General features: G+C 39.9%; 1 long non-coding RNA gene across 1 annotated transcript in view; it reads right to left on the minus strand.

Annotated features, from left to right (window-relative positions):
- The window catches only part of LOC101928977 (uncharacterized), a 54,704-nt gene that overhangs the window by 23,624 nt on the left and 7,204 nt on the right, over positions 1-23,876 (minus strand). Inside the window, exon 2 of the long non-coding RNA NR_125970.1 lies at positions 13,317-13,394. This is a non-coding gene — a long non-coding RNA (uncharacterized LOC101928977). The remainder of the gene's footprint in view (positions 1-13,316; positions 13,395-23,876) is intronic.

Here is a 23,876-nt window from a genome sequence, read left to right on the forward strand (position 1 = left end):
ATCTGCAAAATGGGGACACTTGTACCTGTCTCCCAAGGAGGTCCTGAGGATGAAGTAAGATAATGTGGCACAGTGGAGGCTACACGCTATGCACTTAATGACTCAACAAGTGTTAGAATTTACATTTGAAAACAGTTTCCAGCAAGCTCATACACAGAGTCCTTCAGAGTTTGGCTGAGGACCCAACAACCTCTTAAGGCACACTTCTTCTACCAAGCTGGGTCATCTGGTTTCCCACAACTGGCTGAGATGATGGGCAGTTCAAGAACACTGCAAGGAAAAACACACTGACTAGCAAGTGATAAAGGGGACAGGACTAAAAGAGACAATAATTACGTAAAGAAAGAAAAGGTAGAACATTTTGTAAAAATAAGACAAAACAGGCTGGGCACAGTGGCTCATGCCTGTAATCCCAGCACTTTGGGAGGCTGAGGCAGGCAGATCACCTGAGGTCAGTAGTTCGAGACCAGCCTCAACATGGAGAAACCCTGTCTCTATTAAAAATACAAAATTAGCCAGGCGTGGTGGTGCATGCCTGTAATCCCAGCTACTCGGGAGGCTGAGGCAGGAGAATTGCTTGAACCTGGGAGGTGGAGGTTGCGGTGAGCCGAGATCATGCCATTGCACTCCAGCCTGGGCAACAAGAGCGAAACTCCATCTCAAAAAAAAAAAACAAATCCAAAGTTTAATAGTTTGGGGTCTTTTAGTGTAGACCATGCTCTCCTCTGAAGGATTACTACATCACAGCCCAGTGCAATGATTGGCATTCACATGATCCCAAGCCTGTTGGGCACCAAGAGATCATTCAGACTCAAGTCTGAAAGATCCTGGTAGGGTGGAATGTGCCTGCACCCCAGGAGAAAGGGACTTGGAGGAGGAAAGCACCAGATTATCTCAGGTTATTTGGAAATGAACTTCAGGAAGACTAGGAGAGAAAGAGAGGCTGCTTGAGGTCCCAGCTTCTTACAAGATCTTCAGAGATTTGAAGGGCCTGGAAGGATAACCTTATACTGACTATACAGAGGAAGAAACATTTGGAACCTAGTTCAGGTGTGCTTCTAGCTACTGGAGGAAAAATTGAAACTGTTTCCCTTTGAAGAGGAAAAGAAGGTAAGTAATAGAAAGGGCTAGGTAGAAACATTTTTATTAATAATGTTTAGATTTTATTTGTTGAACAGATGCACTGTGGTGCACTGAAGGTACTAAACTCAGCTCAACTCCTGAACAGATCAGACCACCTTCTTGCAGGGACATGCAGTACAGAAGGTAGGCAGCCATTCAGCATGGAGGATTCAGAGCTTGCCTGTGGAAGCCAAGTGCCTGGGTTCAAACTCAACTCTGACTCTTACTGTTTGCATGACCCCCAGCTTAATCTAACTTAATCTCTTCTGTCTAAAAGAAACACCTTATAGCATTGGTGTGAGCATAATTGTGTTAATACACGTGAGGCACTTAGAAGACTGCCTGGCAAACTGCAGTATTTCCACCAATGTTAGCTATTGTCAAATACATTCCTCACATCTGTTTTATCTTCTTGTGCTTCTAGTAATAGACGATTGGGTTGCCTCAAGTCCACTCACTACAAACAATGCTGTGATTAATATTTTCATGCATTTGTTTAATATGCATTTTATACAGGCTGGGCACAGTAGCTCACACCTGTAATCCCAGCACTTTGGGAGGCTGAGGAGGGTGGATTACTTGAGGTCAGGAGTTTGAGACTAGCCTGGCCAACATGGTGAAACCCTGCCTCTACTAAAAAGACAAAAATTAGCTGGGTATGGTGGTGGGTGCCTGTAATCCCAGCTACTTGGGAGGCTGAGGCAGAAGAATTGCTTGAACCTGGGAGGCAGAGGTTGCAGTGAGCTGAGATGGCGCCATTGCACTCCAGCCTGAGCAACAGAGTGAGACTCTGTCTCAACAAAAAAAAAAGCATTTCATTCAGTGCTTAATATTTGCTGGGCAATGTTTCTTTCAGTCCTGTGCAAGAGTTTACCCAAGGCTTATGCCCAGGAACGGGTTACTTACTCACCATAGGCTGGCTATCTGCTCACAAATTTACATGTGTGCTAGCAGCTCTTGTTTCCCCAAATGTTTAACAACACTCAGTGTTATCAGACATAAAATTTTTGCCAATCTAGGCTGGGCATGGTAGCTCATGCCTATAATCCTAGCACTTTGGAAGGCTGAGGAAGATTTGATTTCAGGAGTTTGAGACCAGCCTCACCAACATGGAGAAACACCATCTCTACTAAAAATACAAAAATTAGCTGGGCGTGGTGGTGTAGAAGGCTGAGGCACAAGAATCGCTTGAGCCCGGGAGGTGGAGATTGCAGGGAGCCAAGATTGCACCACCGTACTCCAGCCTGGGTGACAGAGCAAGACTCTATCTCAAAAAAAAAAAAAAAAAAAATTGCAAATCTGATTTGTGAAAAGTGGTATCTTATTCTCAAGTCTATTGAAAGATTGAGTATGTCTTCATATCATTAGTTATTCCAATATCCTCATCTAGGAATTGCCAATATGTCTATTTTATTGCCTATATGTTATTTTTCTATGGAATTTCCTGACTTCGTTTTGTTGATTTAAAGTTGTTTTGTATATATCTTAGATATGTAGCACTTGCTAGTGTTAGATATTGGGATATTGGGAGTATCTTCTCCCAATTTACCACCTTTTAATTTTATTTTAATTAATTTATTTTCTGTTTGTGACTTTGGAGATGCCACAAGAGCCTTTCTGTTTTGTTTTGTTTTTTGGTAGAGATAGAGTCTTGCCATATTGCCCAGGCTCGTCTCAAACTCCTGGCCTCAAGCAATCCTCCCACCTTGGCCTCCCAAAGCACTGGGTACAGGCATGAGCCACCATGTCCAGCCCACTTTATCACTTTTTATTACCAATGTTCAGATTTTCTTTATTGAACAGAAATCCCGTGGTGCACTGAAGGTACCAAACTCAGCTAAACACCTGATCAGATTGACTTAACTGTCCTTAATGATAAAAAGAAGCATACCTATTTTTGGACATAAATGTTATTTATCTCAGTCTCCACTGCTCTTCTACATACAACATCTAGCATTCTTTCAAAAATCATAAGACAGAAAAATCAAGGGGAAGACATAAAACAATCAAAGATCTGATTCAGATATGACTCAGCCGTTTAAACTATCAGGCAGGAACTTTAAATAACTATGAGTAGCATGCTAAAAGATCTGCTTGGAAGGAGAGCAAGAGGCATTGAGCGATTTCAGCAGAGAGATGGAAACCATAATTAAGAGTCAAAAATTGGCCTGACATAGGGGCTCACACCTGTAATCCCAGCACTGTGGGAGGCTGAGGTGGGTGGATCACCTGAGGTCAGGAGTTCAAGACCAGCCTGGCCAACATGGTGAAAACCCGTCTCTACTAAAAATACAAAAAATTAGCCCGGCGTGGTGGCACACGTCTGTAATCCCAGCTACTCAGGAGGCTGAGGCAGGAGAGTCGCTTGAACCTGGGAGGCAGAGGTTGTAGTGAGCTGAGATTGCGTTGTTGCAATCCAGCCTGGGCAACAAGAATGAGGCTCCATCTCAAAACAAACAAACAAAAAAGTTACACACTCTATTTTCATTCTTCTGGTTATTTTCCCAAATCCTTAAGACCTTTGCTTATGTTTGTTTTTTTCTGTCTTGATTTTTGTTGTTGTTGCCTGTTTGGTTTGATAGTTTGGGCAATTCATCACTCTCTTTCCCTTTTTGGCATCTCCGGGGCTGAGATTGAGGGGAAGAAACAAAGTTTACCACCTCATCAGATATAGGAAAATTTGCCTCCCATGTCTCACCTGTAATCTTCGGGTAAGGAATGCTTTGAAGAAAACAGTCTTCAGTGAAAACCTCAGGAAATTACCACAAGGCTTAATTAAATGGAGAATCTACATGGTTTTAGGAAAAGGATTATTTGGGTTTTTGTTCAAGTAGAATACTTCATTCTCTGTTAGTGCTAGAAAGTGAAATATTGCCTAAATTTATAATAATATTATCAGGCAGCAGATTAGGGAAAAAAAAAACAAGAAAAGTTTATCTTCTAATGATTGTTATTTGTCCTACAATTAGACATATTTTTTCTTAGTAGTATCAAAGTCGTATATTATTTATTATGTCAACAGCCACATATCCTAAAACATCCAGGTTCAGATCAGATATTTTTGTGTTTACTAAGCTTTGGTTCCACTGCAATTTTTATACAACACATATATCCCTTTGCTCATTCACTCATGGTTTTGATATCGTAGGTTAGTTATCTTTATATTCTAGCTGTAAGATAGGAATTACTTAAAGAAGAGTTGCAAAAAGTAGCTGAGAACAGTGGCTCATACCTGTAATCCCAGCACCTTGGGAGGCTGAGGCAGGAGGATCGCTTAAGCCAGGAGTTGGAGACCAGTCTGGGCAACATAGGGATACCTCGTCTCTACAAAAAATTTAAAAATTAGCTGGAGATGGTGGCAAGTGCTGGTAGTTCCAGCTTCTAGGGAGGATGAGGCAGGAGGATTGCTTGAGCCCAGGAGTCGAGGCTGCAATGAGCCATGATGGAGCCACTGCACTGTATTCTGGGTGATAGAGTGAGACCCTGTCTCAAAAAAAAGTGACAGAAAGGAAACTGAGGATTTTGCACATTAGCCCATGGGTTTTTTAAGGACTTATACAAATACTTGAGACCTAAAAAAAAAAGTCTCTAAAACAACAAAAGAAAATAATGTATTTAATATGCTGTGGGGTAGGGTAGTGGGACTCCAAAGAAAATGTGCTTAGAACCTATGCAAGTCACCTGGGGAAATGATCTCCTATCTACTTTGTTCTTAGTCTACAACTTGAGCTAATCGGGAGTATTGGCTGATACAGCCCAATGGAGAATGGCAGAGAATAAGAATGCTTAATGCTGAAAGCTACAGTGGAGAGCATCTATCCACATTTTCAAACTGTGCCTCAGATGCAAAAGGAAGACAGAGGCAGTAGATCGCTGGTCCAACCTATATAACTTCCTGTCATTACTGGTATCAGAGCCGCTCTACTTGGATCTATTCGAAGTATTGGGATTCTCTGTAGTTTTGTTTGAAAAATGAGTTCACAGCTTAATGTTAGAAAACTACTGATCTATTTTAACTTCATCATTTTAGTAAAGAGTGCTCTGAGGTTCAAATAATTTAAATAAATAAATTACCCAAGGTCTCCCAACTAGCTAGTAAAGCCAGATTTCCAGAATCCCATCCCAGTTCAAGACTATTTCTTCATACAGAGATTGAGCTCTCCCGATCTCATGTTGACAGGTGTTGTTCCTATCTTGGGAGGCATTTGGGTTTTGCTAGAGCAGTTGAAGTATAGTTTCATCACCTGTTCCCATGTGCTGTTTTTCAGGCCAAGGCCACATTCTGGAACTTGGAGGATATCTTTTTGAAGGGCTCAGAGGGCATCTGTGAAGCTAACTAGGGGAATAAAAATCATTTTATCTCATTTTTAGTACATGGATTACCCTCCAACTTCCACCCCTTAACAGAAAGGGGTGTTCTCTTCTCTTAAGGGGTGGAACTTCCTGTTTCAACTTCCTGTTTCCCAATGAGGAAAATAAAAACAGCTAAAAAGAAACCTAATAAGCAAAAAATACAACAAAACCAGAAAGTACATAAAGGAGTAAAAGAGTTTATGATGGCAGAAGAATAACTAATGACCAAATCTAGTTTTATTAATCAACCATAAAGGCTATAACTGTACTGTCTGATATGGTAGCCACTATCCACTTGGGGCTACTGCACACATGAAAGATGGCTGGTCCAAATCGAGAGGTACTAGAAGTATAAAATACACACCAGAATTATGACTTAATATGAAAAAATAAAATAATATAAACTCTCTCAATAATTATTCTTTTTTGTTTGTTTTTTGAGACGGAGTCTTGCTCTTGTTGCCCAGGCTCAAGTGCAAGGACACCAACTCGGCGCTCTGCAACCTCCGCCTCCTGGGTTCAAGTGATTCTCCTGCCTCAGCTCTTGAATAGCTGGGATTACAGGCACCTGCCACCACGCCCGGCTAATTTTTTGTATTTTTAGTAGATATGGGGTTTCACCATGCTGGCCAGGCTGGTCTCAAACTCCTGACCTCAGGTGATCCACCCACCTCAGCCTCAAAGTGCTAGCATTATAGGCGTGAGCCACTGCACCCAGCCTCAATAGTTATTCATTTTATTGATTCATGTTGAAATGACAGTATTTTGAACATATTGAATTAAATAAGCCATATTACTAAAATTAATTTCACTTGCTTTTTTGCTTTTACTAGAAAAAATTTCAATTACATGCTTAAATATAATGTTCACATTGTATTTTTATTGGACAGCACTGGTCTGAGAGTAACTAATACATGTCCATAACAACTGAGCTGAGAAGGCCAGGACTCATTACAGAAATAGCTTCCTACCTGCATGGCCACAGACTAAGGTCTTCTTCAAAGAGCAGCTCCAGACTCTGCACTCAGGCTTTCAATGAAGGCCAGACGCTTATGTATCTTCAGGGAGTGGTCATTACAGTTCTTTCCTTAAGTGTAACTTGACTTTTACCTGGGGTTATGTACCTTGGCTGGCTTTCAGGGTTATTAAATAACAGCTTAATGAACAAACACCATTCAAATTGATTTTCAAGTTCCAGTTCTGTGGAGTGGAAGCAGAAAAACACAACAGTCCCTGCAGTGAATTTCTACTGCCTCCAGATAAATAGGACTAGATCTGATAAGACCCCAAACAAATTAAAGGGTGTTGCTCAGAACTTTGCCAAATAGAAATCTCTGGAAGTTTTATGTTCTGACATCTCTAAAACAGATCTTTAATCAGGTAAAGACTTATTTACTTTTAGTTTCACTGGAGCCCCCTTTTGAAAGAGATGCTGATACGGTTTGTTCTGTGTCCCCGCTCAAATCTCATGTTGAATTGTGATCTCTACATGTTGAAGGTGGGGCCTAGTGGGAGGTGACTGGATCATGGGGGTGGTTTTTAACAGTTCAGTACCATACCCCTAGTGCTGTCTCAGGATAGAATTCTCATGAGATCTGGTGGCATTTAAAAGTGTGTGGCCCCTCCCCATTTGCTCTTTCTCTCTCTCCTGCTCCACCATGGGAAAATGTGCCTCATTCCCCTCTGCCTTCCACCACAATTGTTCGTTTCCTGAGGCCTCCTAGTTATATTTCCTGTTAAGCCTGCAGAACTGTGAGTCAATTAAACCTGTTTTCTTTATAAATTACCCAGTCTCAGGTAGTTCTTTACAGGTGCCTGAGAGGAAACAAAGTTGAAGTTGTTTTGTTGGCTTACAGTATACTTTCTCTCCCTTCTAAAAACCAAGTTTTGGGTCTAGGAGAAATATGAGGCATTAAACCTAGAGTTGAAGTTTGATTAGCATGGAAAATTGCTAGAGCTCTGAAGGAAAAAAAAATAAAGAAGTTGTTAGAATTCTAAAAAACAAACAAACAAACAAAGCCAATACCCCAAACAAACAAAGCACATGTTGGTTTGAGGAGGCAGTGAGATAGAAATTCACATTTGAAATAGACCTGCAGTAGGCTCAGTAATGGGCCTTGAAGCTATACATATCCTAATCCCTGGAACCTATGAGTACACAGCCACAAAAGGGGCCTTGCAGATGTGTTAAATTAAGGATCCTGATAGAAGGAGATGAGCATGGCTTATCCAGGTGGGCCCTAAATGTAACTGTGTAATCAAAGGAAGCAGAAAGAGATTTGACCACACAAGTGGAGAAGGCACACACAGAGAAGGTAATGGGACTGCAGAAGCAGCGAGTGGAGTGAAGTAACATAAGCCAAGAAATGCTGGCAGCCCCAGAAGCTGGAAGAGGCCGGGAAGAATTCTCCCCTGGAGCTTCCAGGAGGAACCAGCCCTGCAGACCCCTTGATTTTTGCCCTGTAAGACTAATTTTGAACTTCTGACTTCTAGAACTGTAGGAAGAGTAAATTTCCATTGTTTTTAGCCACAACATTTGTGGTGACTTGTTACATATAGCAGCAATAGGAAATGAATACAGGACCCCAGTGACTTACTTGGCAAAATTAATCTATAGGCTGAATATTTTTTTCCTTCACATTAATTCATATAGGCTTAAAGCATAGAAGAAAGAAATCTCTAAGACAAAGTTCTTGGGAGAACACATCAGAGTAAATGTTCGAATCTGTATTTGCTCCCTTACTTTTCCTTATCTTTTATCCCATTCTCTAAACTTCCCATTCCTTTCTTTCCTCTTTCCTTCCCTTTCCCAACACCCTCCACCTTCAGCTAAGTAACCTTTCAGATGCAACTTTAGATTTACTTTTATGTCTGGCTTGCCAAACCTCCATAATGTTAACAAAAACATTCCAGTTTCCCTTCAAGATACGTATGGTGTGACAGTCAATAAATTTATCAGCTCTGCTTTATTGTAAATATTCATTTATTCAATATATAGTTAGTATTTACCAACTATGTCCTAGGCCCTGTGCTAGATTCTGGGCAAACAACAGTGAACAAAGTAGATGTTGTCCCTGCCTTTATTTACAAATAAATTCATGAAATTACCAACTGTGGTTAAATGCTCTGACAGGCACAAAGAGAGTGCAACAACAGGGAACAACAGAGCTGGCCTCTCTTGGGCGGTGGCATTTGTGTTGTAAAGATGCTCACCTTGTAAAGAGCAAGATGGGGGTGGAGAGAGCATCCCACACAGAGGGACCGGTAGGGAAAGAACTTACCAGTCAAGGAACTGAAACAAATCCCATCTGGGCAGAGCACAGGAGAGGGGAAGAGCAGTGGGACAAGATGAAGTGAGAGAGGCAGGCAGGGGACAGATGACATAGGGATTTAAGGTACATCTCTGTTCCCTTCCTTCCTAGTGAACAGACTGAAATGTCAGTAACTAGGAAGCCTCTAGCAAGAAATATGCTAATAATTGAATCTTTGCCAGTAGAGATGCACTCCTTAAAGTTTGCAAAGTTTATCTGGATATCCTCTACCCTCTAAGAAGTACTTTAAACCACTATCATTTAACATTTTGGTGAGAATTAGTTTTCTGGACTCCTTTTATTCATTCAACATTTATTGCATGCCCAATTTGTGCCAGACAACCCTGTTTGGGGTGCTGTATGTGTTCTGGGTGTTGAGGATTGGCACGCCCCATCTCTCCTCTCATGGAGCCCAGGTATGGTAAAGTGCTATGAGGTAAAATGACAGGGAGCCAATGAGAGTGTGTCACAGGTTCTGGCCTGACCTGAGCAAAGGAAGAAGGCTTCAAGCCAGAAGTAGCACTTAAGCAGGGAAGCAAATGATGCCAGGTTGATTAACAGGTTGGTGTGGGTATAGAGGGAGAGGGAAGAGGGGTATTCCAGGAAGAAAGGGTCCTATAGGTTCAGCATACCAGAGAAGCTTCAAGAAGTCCAGTGCACTACCCCTGGAGTGGGGAGAGTGAAGGAGAGAATGGAGGAAAGGGAATCAGAGAGGTAACTGCAGTGGAGTGCAGGGTTTTGGAGGTGCTGGTAAATGCATTTGGACTCTAGGAACAGAGAAAGTGTTAACAGGTTATAAGCAAAGGAGTGATAGGATCAAGTTCGCGTTAAAAAAAAAAATCATAGGCCGGGCGCGGTGGCTCATGCCTGTAATCCCAGCACTTTGGGAGGCCGAGGCGGGCGGATCATGCGGTCAGGAGATCGAGACCATCCTGGCTAACACGGTGAAACTCCATCTCCACTAAAAATACAAAAAATTAGCCAGGTGTGGTGGCATGTGCCTGTAGTCCCAGCTACTTGGGAGGCTGAAACAGGAGAATTGCTTGAACCTGGGATGTGGAGGTTGCAGTGAGCCGAGACCATGCCACTGCACTCCAGACTGGGCGACAGAGTGAGTCTCCATCTCAAAAAAAAAAAAAAAAAAAAAAAAAAATCATTACATGTTGGTGTGGAGAAGGGGACTGGAGGTAAAGAAGAGTGAACTCGAGAGAACATTCAGGAGATGATTACTGGCATCTAGGCAGGAGATGATGGTGGCTTAGAAGAGAATGATGGCAGTGGAGATTACTAATTGCAGAACCTACTTGATCTTTGCATCTATGCTTATTCACAATTCAGGTTAAATATAAAGTCTTTAACAATGGTATTTGGTATTGTTCATATATTGGGTGTGATTTTTATTCCTTTTCAAGAAGCAGTATTTTATTTTTTATATAAGTGAAGCTAATTTCAACTTCAAGCCCCCATTCTTCTGGAAGCTGAACATTTGATTTTAGTCAATTTGAGGTCTCTCCATTCCTTCCTCAGTATTACAGCTTAATTTGAAGAGGGAGGTCTGTTTGGTTCTTGTACAAGGTGGGTGGGGGTGGATACTCTGGTCTCCTTGCTCATGCATCTACTCTGGAATCCACTGACACACCCTTGGTCCCATGGAGCCTATGGCTTACCCAGACTTCTGCTGTACCCTTTTTGTCCCATCTTGATACTTTCTCAGGCCCACTGATCCCTACACCATGTCTAAACTATTCTCTAACTGCTTAGAAAATGTCCTACTTCTTCTAAAACAATCTGGCTGTGGATAACATCTGAGGCTGTCTCAGCCCTGCTACATCAACATGCCAAGTATACCTCTTCTTCTCTAGAACCCAGCTGGTGTGCAGGACCAATAGTTTCTTACTGGATCTCGGGAACAGATTCAAGAGATATTTAGAAGGAAAAATGATTATCTTTGATGATTCATATATATCAGAGATGAAGTTTCAGGAATGAGTCCCCCCCCACCCCACCTTTTTTTTTTATGGGGAACAGGATGATGCCTTTTAATGAGACAGGAACCTTGGAAGAGGAGCAGATGTAGTGCATGGGCTGGAATCATGAGGTCACTTTTGAACATAGTATGTGTGAGATATCCAAAAAGAGAGACTGAGGAAGCAGTTGGGATTGAAGGCAGGGATCTGAAGCTTAGATGAGAGGTCTGGGATTGAGAATACACAGGGTTGTTTGTTTTTTTTTTTTTTTTTCAGTGTAAAATAGGGGGTAATGGAAGCCATGGGACAGACATCGTGGGATTCCCTGGAGAAAGGGAATATAGAACAAAATGAGAAAAGGGATTGAGGAAATAGCTGAGTAATGTTTAAGGATTGGCTAGGAGATGGAAAACCTGCAAAATAATCATGGAGGTAAGAGGAAAACAAGGAGAATGTCATGAAACAAAAGCTACAGAAGCGAGTGCTTCCAGAGCATAGGAGTGGTTAACAATGTTAAATGCCACCGCCAAGAGGTCAAGTAAGATGAAAACTGAAAAGTATCCTTTGGATTTAGAAGTTATTGGTTATCTCAAAAAAAGCAGTTCCAAGGTATGAAAGAGGCAAAAGCCAGGTTAAAGAGTCTACTTTGAGCATGTGGGGCATTCACAGAAACTTCAGAAATCAAGCCTTTCTAGGAGAAGTAAACTGGCCCTGTAGTAAAGGTTACTCTAAATTCACTCCAACAAAGCTTAAGAACAAGTTTCAAAAGACTCAAGCTAATGCACAAGTAAATTAGCTGCCTGCTAGAACAAAGTCTACCACCCCTTAAGAAAACAAATTCCAATGCTCAATAGAAAATTTTCAGTATCTTGTAAGAAACTTATAGTATCCAATAAAAAATTACTATATATGAGAAGAAGTAGGAAATTGAGACCTATAACCAGGAGAAAAATGAGTCAATAGAAACAAACCCAGAAATGAAGAGATGATAGAACAGCAGATTAGGGGACAAGGACTTAAAGTTAGTTATTGTAAATATGTTCATGTATTTAAAGGAAAATGAATATAATGAGCAGCGGAAGATATTTAAAAAATACTACAAGCAATCATATCAAAGTTCTTTTTTCATAAGACTCCCCTCCAACCAATGCAATAACCAGCCCCATAGCTTCTTATCTGTAAAGTATTTTGTTTCATGTAACTTTGTACTTTTGGTTCTCTGTATGCATGTATTTTAAAATTTTCTTGGGGAACATATCATACATATTCCTAAAGAAAGAATATATATTCTCTTGAAAGGTGCCAGAGAAGTAGGGAGGTGGGTATGATTGTGATAGAACTCTAGATACCCCTCTGCCCTAAACAGCCATTGTTTGTAGGAAGTTTGAGACTTCCTGGTCTCCCACAGAGCAGCTGGCTAGGGCTCAAAGGATACACCTTGGTGTTTCAGGTCCATCTGTCTGATTGGCGCATCTGACCCTGAGGTGTAATAATCCTGAGTCTCACTGAAGCAGGTTCTCATAACTCTTTTTTTCCTCTTTTAAACCCTTCCTTGGGAGCTTTAAGGGCACCTTTTAAGGTATCCTTAAAATTAAAGGAGAAATGTTAATGAAAAGGAAAACATTAAAGTTCAAGAACTCATATGAAATATTTGTGAAAATCTTTGTCACAGATAAGTTGGGCTTAAGTCAAATCAAACAATTTAAGATTAAAGGAGAAGGGCTGAGTCTTCTCTCCTTGCTGTGTATCCCCATCAAGGAGGTATAAGTTTTACCTAAAGATATTCATCCCATTAACATTGATCTCAAAGATGAATTTGCAAATTTGAAATCTCTCATATTATCAGCTTTTCTAAATATGTTCATATGGTAGAGAACTCATGAGGCTCACATTACTTAAGTCCATGGATCACTTTGTAAACACTACTAAGCTTAAACTTTAAAATTATAAATTATTGGACACATTTTTACTTAGAATCATTAACTGGAAATTCATTTATTTCTTCCCTGTTCCATGCCAGTAAGGGAATTAGAGATCATGTTTTTAGCTACTCCCTGGATGAAGGAAAATAGAAACGTGTGTCTCAGTTGAGCGCACCAAGCTGTCATGCTCATATTTGGTGCCAGCTGGTCACCTGTTGGCAGTGCCAGTAGAGAGCCATGGGACTAAATTCATCCTGCCTTCTACATCCAACATCAGTAGACCATCTCTGTCAGAATGTCTATTCCCCATGCAAACCACTTCATTAAATAGAAAACCTCTCTGTTTAAGTGATGTCTAGTTATCAGCTTGCATTTTAATATCTAACAAATTAAAAACTACGTTAACTTTGAGGCAATATTTTTCCATTCTATGTTATTTTAAGAGACACCCATCTTCTTGCAACAGAGCACAATTTTGTCTCTCAAACACACAGCTAAAAAGGTCAGCGACAAAAATAAGAATACAAAAATGAAACAACTCACTTCAAATATCTTTATTAGTTATTACTTCTATTAGTGCATTTTATGCCATAGATATTTTGTTCCTAAAATCTCATCTTCTTTATTTTTCCTTCACCTACCTTAGTTCTTTATTTTATCCTCAATGGGCATGTCTCCACCATGGAAGATGAAGAAATAGAAAACTGGTCACCAGGACACTGTAGAAAGCAAATGACATATCATTAGGAACACAATCATTTAACAGATCAGGCTGAGAATATATCATTAACAACCCAGACAGAAGACCATCATCTTCCATCATCATTTGAAATTAAAAAGTACCTCCAAAGGAATTGTTTACTGCTTTGCCTGCAAAAAGTGCTACAAACAGTAAACCAAAGAGACAAAACAGTCTTTAGTGGATTGTTAGAGCACTTAAGGAGGTGTAAATTGTAATTAGCCATATGCTAGACTTACACAGCCCAATAAGAAATATGCCTGATGGTACAGAATCTCCCTGGCCCAGTTTTTCAGGTCAAAAGCAGAATGGCTGTTGAGTAAGGAATAAGCCACAAAGGAGAGCTACAAAACTATTCCATTCTCTGGCTTCCAACACAACAGGTCAGAACTCTTTCTGCACATGTTTGTGATGGCAGTTATGTTGCTGAGTTACTCTGGATGCCCAACCAGAGTTTCTGCATTGGAAGATGGGAGGGAAGGCCCTGTTCAGCTCAAGTGGCAACCCTAAAATCACTGTGGGTCAGAGGACACATTAACTCTGTTCACAAAGGAATCGGAGTGCAAATGTGTTACAAAGATAATGTTGTTCTATATTAATATTGACAAAGTGTTTCAGAGCTGGGGACCTATATATCTGAGAGTGGTCTCAGGTACTGGCAGAACAAAACAAACTTTTGAGAACTTGGTTTCATGTACTTCTCTGTTGACTGTTTGACTTTCAGTATGTCTCTTAACCATCTTTAGCATACTTTTTAACTTCCCATAGCCTTAATTTATCATTTTGATCACATAGGGGTTGGACTTGATTTTTTAAAAAGCGGCATTCAAAATATGTTTGTGTATGAGTGCACATTTTCCTGTACCCTCATATTTCTGAGAAATCCTATAACTTTCATTAGCTTTGCAAAAGGTTCAGGGACTAAAAAAGGGTGAAGGAATAATCTTGGCTCTGGCAGATTAACTGTAGGAGTAGAAAAGGAAACAGAATATTCAAAGTCTTGTGCTGGAACAAATAACTTTCAGGATTTGATTTGCTCTGTTTGACTGAGAATAAGATGCTTCTTATGCAAATGAAGACTGATAAAGGATGAGTTTATATTGTTTAAAATGCAATATGATCTTTTGGCTCAAATAGCTGTATGCCAGTAATTAGGGATTAATTTGGTTCTGAAAATCATGCAAATTCTCTTTGTGAATTTGTGCATTAATGTAACTTTCTATCAAGTGATTTTCACTAGACGGAGATAAGATTTGGCTACATTCTTAAGGCAAATAAACACAGGGACAAGAGCCATGAGAATGAAGAAGACTTAATGGATATCATCCTCCTTTATAATCTATTTGGTTCACATTGCTATGGATTTTTTTTGTTTATTATTTCATTATTTTGTTTATTATTTTATTATTTTGTTCATTATTATTTATTATTTTTGCTTTGTGGCTCAGGCTGGAGTGCAGTGGTGTGGTCAGGGCTCACTGCAATGTTGACCTCCCTGGCTCTAGAGATCCTCCCACCTCAGCCTCCCAAGTAGCTGGGATTACAGGTGCATGCCACCGTGCCAGCTAATTTTTAAAAATATTTTGTACAGATGAGGTCTCATTATGTTGCCCAGGCTAGTCTTGAATGCCTGGACTCAAATAATCCTTCCATCTTGGCCTCCCAAAGTGTTGAGATTACAGGCATGAGTCATAAGGCCTGGACATCACATTGCTTATGTTTTTATTTCATGATCACAAAATAGAGCAAGGGTGCAATTTCCACAATCTACAACTTCATTCTCTTTCTCCTTGCCATCACCCCACCCATCCCATCTGGAACTGCTGCCAAGAAGGAAAAGTCTTCACTGGAATGCAAGCTCCACAAGCTAGAATTTTTGTCTGGTTTAAACACTGTATTATCTCTACAACAGTGCTCAGTACAAAGCAGGTCCTCAGCAACCATGTGTTGAATGCATTCTAATACTGATGATTTTCAGAATGGTTTAGGATTTGTGACCTCTCCTTTCTGAGCCTGAGTAGATTAAGTGTATCAAATTTGATTCCCTGTAATCTACTTTGGTTTCCTATTTTCTAAAAGCAATGGAGAGGGAGAGAGATCATTATGGCAGACCAGACGGGAGGCAGAACTAGATGATTCAGATGGACAGACAGTGTGCGGAGGCTTGCATTGTGAATTTTAGCTCCAGATTGACTGCAAGAACAAGCCAGCAATCCCAAGAGGACCCACAGACCCTCTGAAGGAATCTGACTGCTCCTGTAGGACCCAGGAGACACCCCAAATACTCAGCCACAGCAAGACCCCCTCAAGGAGAGTCTGAACTCAGACAGGCCTAGCCCTGACCCAACCTGATGGTCCTCCCCTACCCACCCTGGTAGCTGAAGACAAAGGGCATATAATCTTGGGAGATCTAGGGCCCCACCCACCATCGGTTCCTCTCCGTACTACCATAGCTGATGCTCTCTGGAAAGCACCATCTCTTGGCAGGAGGCCAACCAGCACAAAAATAGAGCATTAAACCAGCAAAGCTAAGAACCCTCACGGAGTCCATTGCACTCCCCTGCCACCTCCACTGGAACAGGTGCTGGTATCCACGGCTGAGAGACGCAGAGACAGTTTACATCACAGGACTCTGTGCAGACAACCCCCAGTACCAGCCCGGAGCCAGGTGGACTCGCTGAGTGGCTAGACCCAGAAGAGAGACAACTATCACTGCAGTTTGGCTCACAGGAAGCTACATCCACAGGAAAAAGGGGAGAGTACTACATCAAGGGAACATATTGTGGGACAAAAGAATCTGAACAACAGCCTTCAGCCCTAGACCTTCCCTCTGACAGAGCCTACCCAAATGAGAAGGAACCAGAAAACCACCTCTGGTTACAAGGCTCTTTAACACCCCCCAAAAATCATACTAGTTCACCAGCAATGAATCGAAACCAAGAAGAAATCCTTGATTTACCTGAAAAAGAATTCAGGAGGTTAGTTATTAAGCTAATTAGGGAGGCACCAGGGAAAGACAAAGCCCAATGCAAGGAAATCCGAAAAATGATACAAGAAGTGAAGGGAAAAATATTCAAGGAAAGAAATAGCTTAAAGAAAAAACAATAAGAAATTCAGGAAACATTGGAGACACTTATAGAAATGCAAAATGCTCTGGAAAGTCTCAGCAATAGAATTAACAAGTAGAAGAAGGAAATTCAGAACTCGAAGACAAGGTCTTCGAATTAACCTAACCCAACAAAGAGAAATAAAAAAGACTAAGAAAATATGAACAAAGCTTCCAAGAAGTCTGGGATTATGTTAAATAACCAAACCTAAGAATAATTGGTGTTCCTGAGGAAGAAGAGAATTCTAGAAGCTTGGAAAACATTTTGGGGGAATAATCGAGGAAAACTTCCCTCACCTTGCTAGAGACCTAGACATCCAAATACAAGAAGCACAAAGAACATCTGGGAAATTCGTCACAAACAGCTCATTGCCTAAGCACATTGTCATCAGGTTATCTAAAGTTAAGACAAAGTAAAGAATCTTAAGAGCGGTGAAAGAGAAGCACCAGGTAACTTACAAAGGAAAATCTATCAGATTAACAGCAGATTTCTCAGCAGAAACCCTATAAGATAGAAGGGACTGGGGACCTATCTTCAGCCTCCTCAAACAAAACAATTATCAGCCAAGAATTTTGTATCCAGCGAAACTAAGCATCATATATGAAGGAAAGATACAGTCTTTCTCAGACAAACAATTGGTGAGAGACGTCGATATACCAAGCCACCACTACAAGAACTGCTAAAAGAAGCTCTAAATCTTGAAACAAATCCTGGAAACACATCAAAACAGAAACTCTTTAAAGCATAAATCACACAGGACCTATAAAACCAAAAAACAAGTTAAAAGGCAAAAACATAAAACAAAAAATCCAAGGTGCACAGGCAAAAAAATAGCACAATGAATGCAACAGTACCTCACATCTCAATACTAACATTGAATGTAAATGGCCTAAATGCTCCACGTAAAAGATACAGAACCTCAGAACGGATAAGAACTCACCAGCCAACTACCTGCTGCCTTCAGGAGACTAACCTAACACATAAGGACTCATATTAGCTTAAAGTAAAGAGCAGGGGGAAAGGCATTTCATGCAAATAGACACCAAATGTGAGCAGGGTAGCTATTCTTATATCTGACAAAACAAACTTTAAAGCAACAGCAGTTAAAAGAGACAAAGAGGGACATTATATAACAGTAAAAGGCCTTGTGCAAGAGGAAAATATCACAATCCAAAACATATATGTGCCTATCACTGGAGCTCCCAAATTTATAAAACAATTACTAATAGACCTAAGAAATGAGATAGACAGCAACAAAATAATAGTGGGGGACTTCAATACTCCACTGACAGCACTTGACAGGTCATCAAGAAAGACAGTCAACAAAGAAACAATGGATTTAAACGATACCTTGGAACAAATGGACTTAATAGATATATACAGAACATTTCATCCAACAACCACAGAATACACATTCTATTCAATAACTCATGGAACTTTCTCCAAGATAGACCATATGATAGGCCATAAGAGTCTCAATACATTTAAGAAAATTGAAATTATATCAAACACTCTCTCAGACCACAGTGGAATAAAACTGGAAATCAACTCCAAAAGGAACCTTCGAAACCATACAAATACATGGAAATTAAATAACCTGTTTCTGAATGAGCATTGGGTCAAAAACAAAATCAAGATGGAAATTAAAAAATTATTCAAACTGAACGACAGTAATGACACAACCTATCAAAACCTCTGGGATATAGCAAAGGTGGTGCTAAGAGGGAAGATCATAACACCAAATGCCTGTATCAAAAAGACTGAAAGAGACTAACTGACATTCTAAGGTCACACCTCAAGGAACTAAAGAAACAAGAACAAACCATACCCAAACCCAGCAGAAGAAAACAAAAATAACCAAGATCAGAGCAGAACTAAATGAAACTGAAACACACAAAAAAATACAAAAGGTAAATGAAACAAAAAGCTGGTTCTTTGAAAAGATAAATAAAATTAATAGACCATTAGCAAGATTAACCAAGAAAAGAAGAAAGAAAATCCAAACAACCTCATTAAGAAACGATACAGGAGATATTATAACTGATACCACTGAAATACAAAAGATCATTCAAGGCTACTATGAACACCTTTACGTACATAAACTAAAAAACCTAGAAGAGATGGATAAATTCCTGGAAAAATACAACCCTCCTAGCTTAAATCAGGAAAAATTAGATGCTCTGAACAGACCAATAACAAGCAGTGAGACTGATATGGTAATTAAAAAATTACTGTTCGTGACTACCCTGACCAACATGGTGAAACCCCATCTCTACTAAAAATACAAATTTAGCTGGGTGTGGTGGTGCATGCCTGTAATCCCAGCTACTTGGGAGGCTGAGGCAGGAGAATCGCTTGAACCCAGGAGATGGAGGTTGCAGTGAGCTGAGTTCGTACCATTGCACTCTAGCCTGGGCAACAAGAGCGAAACTCTGTCTCAAAAAAAAAAAAAAAATTTACCAACAAAAAGTGCCTGGGACCAGATGGATTCACAGCAGAATTCTACCAGACATTCAAGGAAGAATCGGTACCAATCCTTTTGACACTATTCCACAAGATAGAGAAAGAAGGAACCCTCCCTAATTCATTCTATGAAGCTAGCGTTACCCTAATACCAAAACCAGAAAGGACAAAACCAAAAAAGAAAACTACAGACCAATATCCTTGATGAACATAGATGCTAAAATCCTTAACAAAATACTAGCTAACCAAATCCAGCAACATATCAAAAAGATAATCCACCACGATTGAGTGGGTTTCATACCAGGGATGCAGTGATGCAAGTCAGTAAATGTGGTACACCACATAAACAGAATTAAAACAAAAATCACACTATCATCTCAATAGATGCAGAAAAAGCATTTGACAAAATCCAGCATCCCTTTATGATTAAAACTCTCGGCAAAACTGGCATATGAGGTACATACCTCAATGTAATAAAAGCCATCTACGACAAGCCCACAGCCAACATAATACCAAATGAGGAAAAGTTGAAAGCATTTTCTCTGAGAACTGGAACAAGGTAACAATGCCCACTCTCACCACTCCTCTACAACATAGTACTGGAAGTCCTAGCCAGAGCAGTCAGACAAGAGAAAGAAATAAGGGGCATCCAAATCAGTAAAGAGGAAGTCAGACTGTCACTGTTTGCTGACCATATGCTCATTTACCTCGAAAACCCTAAAGGTTCCTCCAGAAAGCTCCTAGAACTAGTAAAATAACTCAGCAATGTTTCCGGATACAAGATTAATGTACACAAATCAGTAGCTCTTCTATACAACAGCGACCAAGCAGAGAATCAAATCAAGAACTCAGCCCCTTTTTCAAGGGCTGCCAAAAAAATAAAATACCTAGGAATATACCTAACCAAGGAGTCAAAAAACCTCTACAAGGAAAACTACAAAACACTGCTGAAAGAGATCATAGATGATACAAACAAATGTAAACACATCCCATGCTCATGGATAGGTAGAATCAATATTGTGAAAATGACCACACTGCCAAAAGCAATCTACAAATTCATTGCAATCCCCATCAAAATACCACCATCATTCTTCACAAAATTAGAAAAAACAATTCTAAAATTCATATGGAGCCAAACAAGAGCCCACATACCCAAAGCAAGTCTAAGCAAAAAGAACAAATCTGGAGGCATCACACCACCTGATTACAAACTATACTGTAGGGCCATAGTCAACAAGCCAGCATGGTACTGGTATAAAAATGGTACATAGATCAATGGAACAGGATAGAGAACCCAGAAATAAACCCAAATACTTACAGCAAACTGGTCTTCAAGAAAGCAAACAAAATCATAAAGTGGGGAAAGGACACCCTTTTCAACAAATGGTGCTGGGATAATTGGCTAGCCACATGTAGGGGAATGAAACTGGATCCTCATCTCTCACCTTACATAAAAATCAACTCAAGATGGATTAAGGACTTAAATCTAATGCCTGAAACTATAAAAATTCTAGAAGACAACATTGGAAAAACCATTCTAGACATTCTTAGGCAAGGATTTCATGACCAAGAATCCAAAAGCAAATGCAATAAAAACAAAGATAAATAGTTGAGACTTAATTAAACTAAAGAGCTTTTGCACAGCAAAAGGAACAGTCAGCAGAGTAGACAGACAATCCACAGAGTGGGACAAAATCTTCACAATCTGTACATCTGACAAAGGACTAATATCCAGAATCTACAATGAACTCAAACAAATCAGTAAGAAAACACAATCGCATCAAAAAGTGGGCTAAGGACATGAATAGACAATTCTCAAAATAAGGACAAACAAATGGCCCAACAAACAAGAAAAAATGCTCCCCAGCACTTTGGGAGGCCAAGGTGGGCGGATCATGAGGTCAGGAGATCGAGACCATCCTGGCTAACATGGTGAAACCCCGTCTCTACTAAAAATGCAAAAAAATTAGCTGGGCGTCGTGGTGGGCACCTGTAGTTCCAGCTACTCGGGAGGCTGAGGCAGGAGAATGGCGTGAACCTGGGAGGCGGAGCTTGCAGTGAGCGGAGATCGCGCCACTGCACTCCAGCCTGGGCAACAGAGCAGCAGATCAAGACCCCGTCTCAAAAAAAATAAAAAAAAAATAAAAAATAAATGCTCAATATCACTAATGATCAGGGAAATGCAAATCAAAACCGCAATGTGATACCACCTTACTCCTGCAAGAATGGCCATAATAAAAAAATCAAAAAACAGTAGATGTTGGCGTGGGTGCAGTGATCAGGGAACACTTCTACACTGCTAGTGGGGATGTAAACTAGTACATCCCCACCTACATGTGGAAAACAGTGTGGAGATTCCTTAAAGAACTAAAAGTAGAACTACCATTTGATCCAGCAATCCCACTACTGGGTATCTACCCAGTGGAAACGGAGTCATTATACGACAAAGATACTTGCACAGGCAGGTTTATAGCAGCACAATTCACAATTGCAAAATCGTGGAACCAATGCAAATGCCCATCAATCAATGAGTGAATAAAGAAATTGTGGTGTATATATTTGATGTAATACTACTCAGCCATAAAAAGAAATGAATTAACGGCATTTGTAGTGACCTGGATGAGATTGGAGACTACTATTCTAAGTGAAGCAACTCAGAAATGGAAAACCAAACATCATATGTTTTCACTGACATGTGGGAGCTAAGCTATGAGGATGCAAAGGCATAAGAATGATACAATGGACTTTAGGGACTTGGGGTGAAAGAGTGGGAGGGGGTCGAGGGATAGAAGACTACAAATGGGGTGCAGTGTATACTGCCTGGGTGATGGGTGAACCAAAATCTCACAAATCACCACTGAAGAACTTACTCACGTAACCAAATATCACTTGTACCCCAATACCTTATGGAAAAATAAAAAACAGAAATAAAAATAAATAAAAATGGAAAAAAATAAAAGCAATGCAAATTGCTGGTTTTAATTTAAAAAGCCCAGTTGGCTTTGAGACTCTTGATATACGTCATTGTCATCCTTATGCAATACTCAACCAATAGAAGTGGTTCTGGAAGTTCCAATAAGCATCTATATTTTAATCCTGAGAAACTGTGAGGCATTTGTGCCTGCATAGGCCAAGTTTTTCATCCATTCTACTGAATCACTCTATTTATTGACTCCATGAATACAGCAAATTCATCATGTCACTCAGTATTCCCTAGTTATATAACTCTTCCATGTAAGAAATAGCATCAGCAACAGCAACAAAAACAGTAACATCACTGACATTTTCATTAAATATGAGCACTCAGGAATGAACCTGTTGAATTAAATGAATGCACTATTATCTAAGCTTAGTGCCTCTTGGACAACATGTAAAATTGGACTCTTAGCAAGCAATACACTCTACTATCTAAATTCAAATATAATTAACGGTTAGTTTTCCTCATATTTCATATCTCTCTACCTTAACTTCCTGAATTTTACACCTAACTCTATTTATACTCTTTTGTTTTATTGCTAAGGTTTGAGACATGGAAATGGCCAATTTCTCCATATTAAATGTAGATCTTTTTAAATATGTTTTTCACCCACTTAACAATCTTTTTGAATGACCGTTGTTGGTTTGGAAGACCAGATGATGTCCACCTCACTGCTAACTCCATTTTCTTTTTACTTCTCTTCCCTTTGTCTTTTGCTCCTTCTTCCCAGGCATCTACCCACAAAATCTCCTGACTCCCTTGTTATTTGTTTCTTCCCGTCATATTTGCTATGTTTATATCAACTTAATGTTGACAGAGGTATATGTACTTTAGATATCTTTATTAAGGTATGGTGCTGTGACATTCTAACTATAAAGTGTTATCTCAGCATGAATGAAGGCTTATGAAGAGGGAGAAATGTTCTTCAGATTTTTCTTTAAAAGGCAGTGCATTTAGGCTGGGATAGAACACTGATTTCCAAGGATTTCTAACAATATGTGACATCCAGAAAGTCTATTATCTTACACACCAAATTTCAGTAGCCATCTGGGACGCCAAATTACCAATGAAACAAAAGACACGACACAGTAGTAAGGTGCACAGGTTTTGTAATTAAAAAAAAGGAACATGATCATGATTGATTATATTTGCTCCCAAGATTTATGTAACTGACCAAATAATTTTTTTTTCTTTCATGGATCAAACAGTATCTTTGATAGACGCTGTATTGAAAACATTATTTTAATTTTTTATTATTAAAAGAAAAAACCTAGATGTTAATTATTCTTCAGTGATTAAAAAGATACAGATAATATAAAGTTATGGAGGAAAAAGATTTAAAAAGAAAAATGAGAAAAAATGGTAAGCTGGAGAAAATATGCTCTCAAAAATGGAACTCTTTGCTAAGAGCCACAGATGCAATACCTTGAACCTCAGGAGAGCTTTAATTAGTCCAGCTCTTCCTTGAGCGCATGCTCAGAAGCTTTGGTGCTGACTGTAAATTAGGGCAAGGAAATCCAGCAGGGGCCTGGGTGGGTTAAGGGGGAAGGGCAGAATCTTAAAGGGGCAATGACCATTTAAAGGAGCAATGCCTGTCAGCCCCACCGTTCTTGTTGTAGGCTCCTCAACCTGCCACCACAAACCTAATTCAACTTCTGTGTTCCCTGTCTCAGTTAATAGCACCTCCACTCCCCAAGTCTGGCTACAATGACTAAACATGGGAGTTGTTCATGATTTCTCCCTTTTTTGCACCTGCAAAATGTCAATTTTGCTGATTTTTACCTTAAATTTGACTTCATTTTTCCATTCCTGTTATCATTGTTCTGTTTTAAGCCCTCATTGGGTCCTGTTTGGGCCATTACAATAATGTCTAACTGGTGTTATATGCATTTTCCGCTGCTGCCAAATCATCTTT

This window comes from Homo sapiens, chromosome 1 (assembly GCF_000001405.40).
Source record: "Homo sapiens chromosome 1, GRCh38.p14 Primary Assembly".
NCBI classification, from domain to species: Eukaryota; Metazoa; Chordata; class Mammalia; order Primates; family Hominidae; genus Homo; species Homo sapiens.